This window comes from Homo sapiens, chromosome 9 (genome assembly GCF_000001405.40).
Source record: "Homo sapiens chromosome 9, GRCh38.p14 Primary Assembly".
Classification (NCBI taxonomy): domain Eukaryota; kingdom Metazoa; phylum Chordata; class Mammalia; order Primates; family Hominidae; genus Homo; species Homo sapiens.
In genome coordinates this window covers 35,943,957-35,953,566 of record NC_000009.12, presented here as the reverse complement: position 1 = coordinate 35,953,566, position 9,610 = coordinate 35,943,957, and the positions used below count along the sequence as shown (strand labels likewise).

The 9,610-nt window shown below is 42.4% G+C and overlaps 1 annotated feature.

Annotated features, from left to right (window-relative positions):
* Positions 1,105-2,304: an enhancer, noted in NCBI's record as "CDK7 strongly-dependent group 2 enhancer chr9:35951260-35952459 (GRCh37/hg19 assembly coordinates)". NCBI's record gives its function as "activates an origin of replication core promoter dependent on BRD2, BRD4, P300/CBP, MED14 and CDK7 cofactors, with strong dependence on CDK7, by STARR-seq in HCT116 cells {active_cell/tissue: HCT116}" and the evidence as "EXISTENCE:reporter gene assay evidence [ECO:0000049][PMID:35650434]".

The following is a 9,610-nucleotide window of genomic DNA, read 5'->3' as shown; positions in this document are numbered from 1 at the left end:
TGGACTTATTTTTAAAAAATAAAGCTAGAATAATTTAAGGATATGTCTTGGTATAATTCTCTACGTTTATAGGTTAAATAGATCCTCAAAACTATTGAAAAAGTTGAACATGAATTTCTTAGTTTTAAATTCCTTCTAATAAAATAGGAATGGATGTGTTCTTTAATAAAATTAAATTTATATCTCTAGTGAAAAGTATGTGTCATGCGTAATGGTGCATCAAATCAAATCTGTTACACTTTAACCCTTTTCTGGATATACCAACCATTGAATTAGAGAGTAGAGATAAATAAATAAAAGGTGAAACTAGAAGAAAGGTAAAGAATAATTTTATTATTATTGTTAGCTGATACACTCATAATTTTATACCTGGATAAAACAGTAAAATCAATCAAAAGGCAATTTTGAAAAACAGTAGGAGAATTCAATAACGAAGCTGCATAAAAAATTAATATGCAAAAATCCAGGTTCTAGAGGGGAAAGGGGGAAAACGGAAGGGGGAAAGAGGGGAGGAGAGAGAGGGGAAGAGAAAAAAGAGGAAGAGAGGGTGAGAAGGAGAAAGGGGAGGAGATTTGGGGGAAGAAAAAGGAGGAAAGAGAGAGGGAAAGATGAGGAAAGAGAGAGGGAGAGACAAGGAAAGAGGAGGAGAGGGAGAGACAAGGAAAGAAGAAGAGAAGAAGAGACAAGGAAAGAGGAAGAGAGGGAGAGGGAGAGAGAAGGAGAGAGATAGAGAGAAACCGGTTGTCTTGGACTCTTGAGTCTTCAGCAGCAGTCATCACCGTCCTCCCTACCAGCTAAACAGGGCCTTTTCTCATCTTCTAGCTTGAGGCAAAATCTGCCTTTTTCTCCACAGTGATGTCATAAGAAAAGATCACAGTCGCATAACTTGTCCCCTTTCTAGCAATAAGAACCCGCATATTTCTTTCAGGGGGAAAGATATGGAAGAATTTTTATAGGGACTATGCAGCAAGATTTTGAAATAGAGATTTCAAGTGGTTTATCATAGAAGGTATCTAGAACACAATCCTATAGGGATTTCATGGATCATTATCAATTCTCTGTCTGTCCCTAATCAGATTAAACTGTGTTGTTGAGAGAAGGGGTGTATGGGTTATGCCATAGTATTTAGACAAAAGAAAATAAACAGGTGCAAAGTTATACTATTCCAAGTAATTCAACTGGAATGGGAATAAGTAGAAAAGAAATGAAACAGGAGCTCAAGGTTGGTTGATAACACTGATTGCTCTTGGTATAACTGAGATGGAGTAGAGACTCCTCCTAGGGACTTGCGGGCACCAAAGCATAGAAATAAAGTAAAATCTTGAGTTCCTTTGAAGGAAATTCCGGGGACCTAGCTAGCCTTAAGAAGTGAATGAGCAACTCGATAAGCTAGAAGGTAATAGTAGCTTAAAACAATAGCCAAGGAAGTTAGAGTCAGGAGAACGTTTGGTTCCCTATAGAAACTAGAGATAACATCTTAACATATGTCCCTGAGTTGTTTTCTAGAAACCCAGATTCTTACCAAAGGAATCCCCTGGCACACAGACCTCAGATAAGGGGGAACTGAGGGCTGAACTCTAATGGCTGTCCTTTGTTCTAGATTTCTTCCTGAGAGGCCTGGAAGAGGTCACACCCACGAGCCAGGGCTAACATTCTTTTCTGATGATAACAAATTTTCAGACAAAGCCTCACTTCCTTAACCAAGTCAGAAAATCTTCGAATCGGCAGGATGCAGTGGCTCACGCCTATAATCCCAGCACTTTGGGAGGCCAAGGCTGCAGGCAGAGTCACCTGAGGTCAGGAGTTCAAGACCAGCCTGGCCAACATGGCGAAGCCCTGTCTCTACTAAAAATACAAAAATTAGCTGGCCATGTTGGCGCGCACCTGTAATCCCAGCCACTTGGGAGGCTGAGACAGGAGAATCAATTGAACTCAGGAGGTAGAGGTTGCAGTGAGCAGAGATCATGCCACTGCACTCCAGCCTGGGTGACAGAGGGAGACTCCGTCTCAAAAAGCACAAACAAATTTTCGCAACCTACTCATCTGACAAAGGGCTAATATCCAGAATCTACAATGAACTCAAACAAATTTACAAGAAAAAAAACAAACAACCCCATCAAAAAGTGGGCAAAGGATATGAACAGACACTTCTCAAAAGAAGACATTTATGCAGCCAAAAGACACATGAAAAAATGCTCATCATCACTGGCCATCAGAGAAATGCAAATCAAAACCACAATGAGATACCATCTCACACCAGTTAGAATGGCGATCATTAAAAAGTCAGGAAACAACAGGTGCTGGAGAGGATGTGGAGAAATAGGAACACTTTTACACTGTTGGTGGGACTGTAAACTAGTTCAACCATTGTGGAAGTCAGTGTGGCGATTCCTCAGGGATCTAGAACCAGAAATACCATTTGACGCAGCCATCCCATTACTGGGTATATACCCAAAAGACAATAAATCATGCTGCTATAAAGACACATGCACACGTATGTTTATTGTGGCACTATTCACAATAGCAAAGACTTAAAACCAACCCAAATGTCCAACAATGATAGACTGGATTAAGAAAATGTGGCACATATACATCATGGAATACTATGCAGCCATAAAAAATGATGAGTTCATGTCCTTTGTAGGGACATGGATGAAATTGGAAATCATCATTCTCAGTAAACTATCACAAGGACAAAAAACCAAACACTGCATGTTCTCACTCATAGATGGGAATTGAACAATGAGAACACACGGACACAGGAAGGGGAACATCACACTCTGGGGACTGTTGTGGGGTGGGGGGAGGGGGGAGGGATAGCATTGGGAGATATACCTAATGCTAGATGACAAGTTAATGGGTGCAGTACACCAGCATGGCACATGTATACATATGTAACTAACCTGCACATTGTGCACATGTACCCTAAAACTTAAAGGAGAATAATAATAAAAAATAAAAAAATAAAAATAAAAAAAGAAATTTAATTTTTTTTCTTGAAACTATAATAAAATTAAGATAAAATAGCAAAAAAAAAAAAAAGCACAAACAAAAAAGAAAATCTTCGACTCTTCCTATGACCTGTGGGCCCCTCCTAATCACCACCCCCAACACACATACACGTGCTTTGAGATGTCCTGCCTTTTTAGGTTAAACCTAATAATAATGATTTATGACTTTGCCTGTAACCTCTGCCTCCTCACCTTTATTTTTTATTTTTTTGAGATGTAGTTTCACTCTTGTTGCTCAGGCTGGAGTGCAGTGGCATGATCTTGGCTCACTGCAACCTCCGCCTCCTGGGTTCAAGCGATTCTCCTGCCTCAGCCTCCCTAGTAGCCGGGATTACAGATGCATGCCACCACACCTGGCTAATTTTTGTATTTTTAGTAGAGACAGGGTTTCACCATGTTGGCCAGGCTGGTTTTGAACTCCTGAGCTCAAGTAATCCACCCACCTTGGCCTCCCAAAGTGCTGAGATTACAGGTGTGAGCCACCATGCTCAGCCAGAAAATTTTTTTATTATTACAGTTTGGATGGTGCACATTTGAAAATGATCAATTTCTCTGCTTTCTTAAGCGGAGCTTATTGGTTATAATGTTACATTGTGAGTGAGTCACAGTCATCATTTATGACTATTGTAAGGTAATTGCGCAGGATAAAAGTGGCATCTCCTAAGGGGCATACTCAGGGTCCAAAAGAGGCTACTTGGAATTGGCAACACCGGGGGTCAGGATGGCTAAGACAGAACCCGTCTCAGTTCAGGTGGTGGCTCTAGTGATACCAGCCCAGAACAGGATGGAGGAGAGGCTCCTCAGTGCCATCCTGTTGAAAAACAGAGTCCAAGAGTAAGCTCCCCTTCTCTGGGACAAGATAGTGTTTTGTCCTAAATAATAATAATAATTGCTTTGGAGAGATGTGCTTGCTCACAGATAACTTGCACAGTTATGATTCTTGCTGGTGGAATTAGGATCTATTCCTCCCACTTCAGAGTTGACAGACTTGGGCAGAGGGGAGTCTCCATTAACTTTTGTGCAAAGCCTGAGCTCTGGAGTTTTCCACTGAGAGGCAGAAAGGATAGAGTTCCCAAAGGAAGGGATGTGTGGCTTCTGGGCATGTGACCTGCAGAGGAGTTGTTAGGAGCAGAAAGGGTGTGAGGAGGAGATAGAAAGAGGTCAGGAGAGAGGGAGCCTCCAAAGGTCTCAGCCTGGAGTTTCCTCTCCTTAGCTGCAAAGACCAAGGCTCTCATCCTTCTGCTGCTGTGCTCTGAGACACTCACCTGGCCCTTCAGTAATTTGGCTGGTCTAGGGAGGCTGGGAAGCTAGAGACAGGAAGGTATTTGCTTCCTGATTGCCACAGGCTGAAATGCAGTTCAGCGTCAACCACCTTCTCTCCCCTCCTCCACTCACATTTTTAAAATATCTGTGGCAGTGCCACCCCTGAGCACTAGTGGCCATTGACAGGTGACATTCCAGGCCTATAAGACTGAGTGGCTTGTTCCTGATGGTCCTCAACCTCCCTGCCCTACACACTCACCCCATGACCTAGTAAAGATCACTTCCCAGGTCTGCAAGGGAGGGACTCACCTCCACACCCACACTAGAGTCTATCTGTTTTCCGTTTCTAGTTTCCTCCCTCATTGTCAAGCTGTCAGCAGTAAATTCCAACTTGTTTTTATTAAAAAGGAATGGGGACACTTATGTGGTTATTTTAGCCAAGATGCATATTCTAAATCTAATCATGATGAGACATTGCACAAACCCCAATTTTATAAAACACCTGGCCTGTATTCCTCAAAAACATCAATATTATGAAAGACAAAGTATGGCTGAGGAACTATTCCAGATGAAAGGAATCAAAGAGAAGTGATGAAAACACGGAACGTATGATCCTGGGCTGGATACTATACTGGAAAGTGTTGCTATAACTGTATTGGCTATAACTGTGGCAACCATTGACATTTGAATGTGAACTGTAGATAAGACAATCATATTGTAGCAATGCTGAATTTCCTGAGTTTGATCATTGTAGTGGAATACAGTGAAAGAATATATGTGTTTTTATGGAATACACATGACATACACAACCTACCTTGAAATCATTCAGGAAAACTATGTATACACACACACACACACACACACACACACACACACACACAGAATGATAAAGCAAAGCAAATGTAGTAAAATGTTAACAAGTTGATAGACTGCATATGGGTTTTTTTTAATATGATTATTGCAACTTTTCTTTAAGTTTGAAATTCTTTCAAAGAAAATAAATGTCGAAAAGAAAGTGATGAGGAACTCCAAAAAAAATCATGGAAGGACTATTTAAATATCAGCAATTCAAATAAACATGAAAAAGTTCAACATCACTAACAACCCAAGTGGTGCAAAATGGTACGTTAAAAATCGAATCCCATTAACCTACTACAGAAAAGGATAATATAATATCCATTTTTGGTCATGGATCAGTGACACAGGAGCCCTTGTCCCTGCTAGTAATTGGACACTGTTTTTGAAAAACAATTTCAGACTTTAAAATGCTCTTATAAGGCCAAGTATGGTGGCTCACACCTGTAATCCCAATGCTTTATAAGGAGATCAAGGTGGGAGGATCATTTGAAGCCAGTAGTTGGAGACCAGCCTGGGCAATATAGCAAGATGCCATCTCTTTACAAAAAAAATTTTTTTTAGGGCCAGGTGCAGTGGTTCATGCCTGTAATCCCAGCACTTTGGGAGGCTGAGGCAGGCAGGTCACTGGAGCCCAGGAGTTTGAGACAGTCTGGACAACATGGAGAAACCCTGTCTCTACAAAAAAAAAAAAAAATTAGCCAGATGTGATGGCAAGCACCTTTAGTCCCAGCTATTCAAGGACCTGAAGTGGGAGGATCACTTGAGCTCAGGAGTTTGAGGCTGCAGTGAGCCATGATCATGTCACTGCATTCCAGCCTGGGTGACAGAGCGAGACTCTGTCTCATGAATAAACAAATAAAATATTCTTTTCCTTCTTCTTTTTGAGACAGGGTCTTGCTCTGTTGCCCAGGCTGGAGTCCAGTGGTATGTTAATGGCCCACGGCAGCTTTGACCTCCTGTGCTCAAGCAATCCTCCCACCTCAGCCTTTGGAGTAGCTGTGACTACAGGTGCACACCGCCACGCCTGGCTAATAAAATGCTCTTATACTTAGACCTCATAATGGAATTCTTAAAAATTTATCCTAAAGAAAAAAAAAATCAGAGATAGAGATAGAGATTTTATGGCTGGGTGCGGTGGCCCACGCCTCTAATCCCAGCACTTTGGGAGGTTGAGGCGGGCGGATCACGAGGTCAGGAGATTGAGACCATCCTGGCTAACACGGTGAAACCCCGTCTTTACTAAAAAATACAAAAAAAATAGCTAGGCATGGTGGCAGGCGCCTGTAGTCTCAGTTACTCGGGAGGCTGAGGCAGGAGAATGGCGTGAACCCGGGAGGTGGAGCTTGCTGTGAGCCGAGATCGCATCACTGCACTCCAGCCTGGGCGACAGGGCGAGACTCCGTCTCAAAAAAAAAAAAAAAAAAAGAAAAAGAAAAGAAAAATCTCTATGATGTAATTTACCAAGGAGAAAAACAGCATCATCTAAATGTCCCAAAATAGCATAATGGTTAAGTAGATGATAGTATACTTATACATGAAAAAAGCCAGTTTTTCATACAGACCCTCACCAAGAAGAAAATATAATAAGGAAAAAAATGTTCCTCTATATTAGCAACAAAATGGAGGGAAAATGCCCTAGAATAAAGTTAAGAATCCACGGTATGTACATAAATAAGAACATAATACTCTATTGGAATAACTCAAAGAAATATTTTAATAAATTTAAAGATAAATTTGGATAAGAAATCTCAAGGCTGGGTGTGGTGGCTCATACCTGTAATCCCAGCACTTCGGGAGGCTAAGGTGCACAGATCACTTGAGGCCAGGAGTTTGAGACCAGCCTGGACAAGATGATGAAACCCTGTCTCTACCAAAATTACAAAAATTAGCCAGGTGTGGTGGCACGTGCTCATAATCCCAGCTACTCGGGAGGCTGAGGCAGGAGAATTGCTTGGACCTGGGAGGCGGAAGTTGCAGTGAGCTGAGATCACCATCTGGGCAACAGAGCAAGACTCTGTCTCCAGAAAGACAAAACAAAACAAAACAAAACAAAAGAAAAAGAAAGAAAGCAAGAAAAGAAATCTCAAAAATGTAAACTTTTCAAGCCTTCTAAATTAATAAATTCAATGCAACCTCAATCACTAACAAGCTAATTCCAATTCACATAAACAATTATATATAAATTAATTCATATAGAAAACTTGTCTTGGAAAATGATCAGGAGGGGAAAACTAGTCCCACTAGATATCAACATGTATAAAAGTTACAGTGATAAAAAGTTTGGTACTGGTAAAGAATAAATAGATCAATCGTTGGTACAGAATAAAGTCTAGAACTAGACCCAAGGATATATGGCCATTTAATTTGTGATAAAGTTAATATGCTAATCGTTAATCTATTGTCCCCCCCGCTTCTGAAGTATGCCTCTATACTCAATTTGTGACATGGCTGAAACTCAAAACCCATTTCTACTTTGGCAGGTGACTCCCTGTAGACCGACCCACAGAGGGCGCAAGAGGGAGCGTGGAGGACCAGACGAGGGAAAAGATTCTTTTTTTCTCTCTCTCTTGGGAAAAGAGGGAAGAGCTTCTTGCTCCTTCCGGTTTGCTTCCTGTTCCTGTCCGCTTAGCCCCGCAGTGTTCATTGGGTGGTCCTATATCCTGGTTTCTCAACACTTTCAGAACTAGGCTCATTGTTTAGGATCTCAGTTCCAGAATGCCCTTTCTCAGACACCAAAATGAATTCCAAAGAGACCAAAGATTAAAATATAAAAAATAAAATATTATGGATTCTAGATGACAGGGGTAAGGAGGAATCTGGGAAAATGGCAGTTTGTTCTGTAACATCCATGATGCATCCCGACCCAGCCGCAGCCCAGCTGCTGTTCTCCTAAGCTAGGGAGCTGCTGAGGCTGAAAGGTGTGGGCAGTGCCAGTGGCTCGGGTGGGCACATACCAGACAGGAGTGGAACAGGAATTTTCACCTCTGTGCCAGAGGAGATCCTGGAAACAAGCCTCAAAAAGTCTTGAGGCAAGAAAAAGGAGGAATACTGTGGTATCTGGGAGTCAGTTTGAACAGGCCATGGCTACAGGGGGGCAGGGCTGTGGCTTCCATGTCAGTGTTGCCAAAAGAGCTAGAGGTCTGGGAGGAGTCTCCCTGTCCTCAAGGAGGAGCTGAGTTCTCTCTCCCCCAGCAGGGGATGTCCCAGGTGTTACCAGCCCTTCCAACTTGGGGCCTATTAAAGGATTGATAACTGGCCAGTGGCTCACACCCCTATCCCCATGGGCAGACTATGGTGTCTGCCCCTCTCTCAGGATAGCCGCTCCCTAAAGACCTCTAGCAGCTGGGAACCCAGCAGCCAGACACAAGAGCAAACAGAACCAGAGAAACATGTCTCCTAGTGTAATTGAACTGCTGGAGGAATCAGAACATGCCAAGGGCACTCAAGGAGCTCTAAGTCCAGTATACAAAAAAAAAAAAAAAAAAAAAAAGTCTCTCTGATAAGACAGCAGATTGAACACTTGCATATAGTGAAGTTAGCTAAGAAGAGAAGACACTATGCAATGCAGTTCAAGGGGAATTCGAGGGCAGACGAGGACTTTCTTTGGGGGGTGGGGGTGCAGATAAGAAAGGTTTAAAAGTGTTCAGAGAAGGAAACGCAGGGATTTGAATCCAACTCTAACTCCAAAGCCCACGCCCTTTTCTCTGGCAGCACTTTGCTAGGATCTGGTAGGGCCCAGAGACAAGTGAGAATAGAGCTTGCTCTCCTCGTATTTTAGAACAGAGACAGAGCAAGCAGGTGAAGGTCAGTTATCCCATTCTTCTCCCAGAAGGGCTTTCACTGCCCAACACAGCTCAGGTCCTCCTTTCACAAAACAAACTCTCAGATGGACTCTGGCTGGCAGAGGTATATCTCAGTCCTGTTCTTTAAGTCACTGAGTAAACAGCATTTTGGTAATTCCTACAGCAGCTTCGTAGAAGTACTAAAACTCTTCCCTACCCACACCCCATGTCCCTCAAGTCTGGCTGAAAGAAAACAGGAAAGATTTGAGGCCCTGGGGCCCTTGGCAAAAAGCCTATGTGTGGCAGAGGTTTGTCTGCAGCCTCCCTGACTTTCGCCACACCTACCTCGTAAGGACTTAACTGACTGTCTCAGGGTAAGACCCTGAAAAGAGAATTTGAGGTGTTGACTCTTTCTGACCCCCATCATCCCAATTACATACTTATCCACATAATAACAGCTCAGTGACAACTTCTTGTCATTATGGCTTTGAAAGCTTCTACTACGTCCCAGACAAGGACTCCTTTTTCTCCCCCCAGTACAACAATGTTTTTATCCAATGACATATGCTACAAGAATATTCTGACTTTCTGATTTCAGGCAAAGACACACTCACCAACTTATTACTTGACACAGCAAGTCCCAGTCAGAGAATACCATATGAAACAAATAGGAATTTGCAAGAATCCAAAACATAG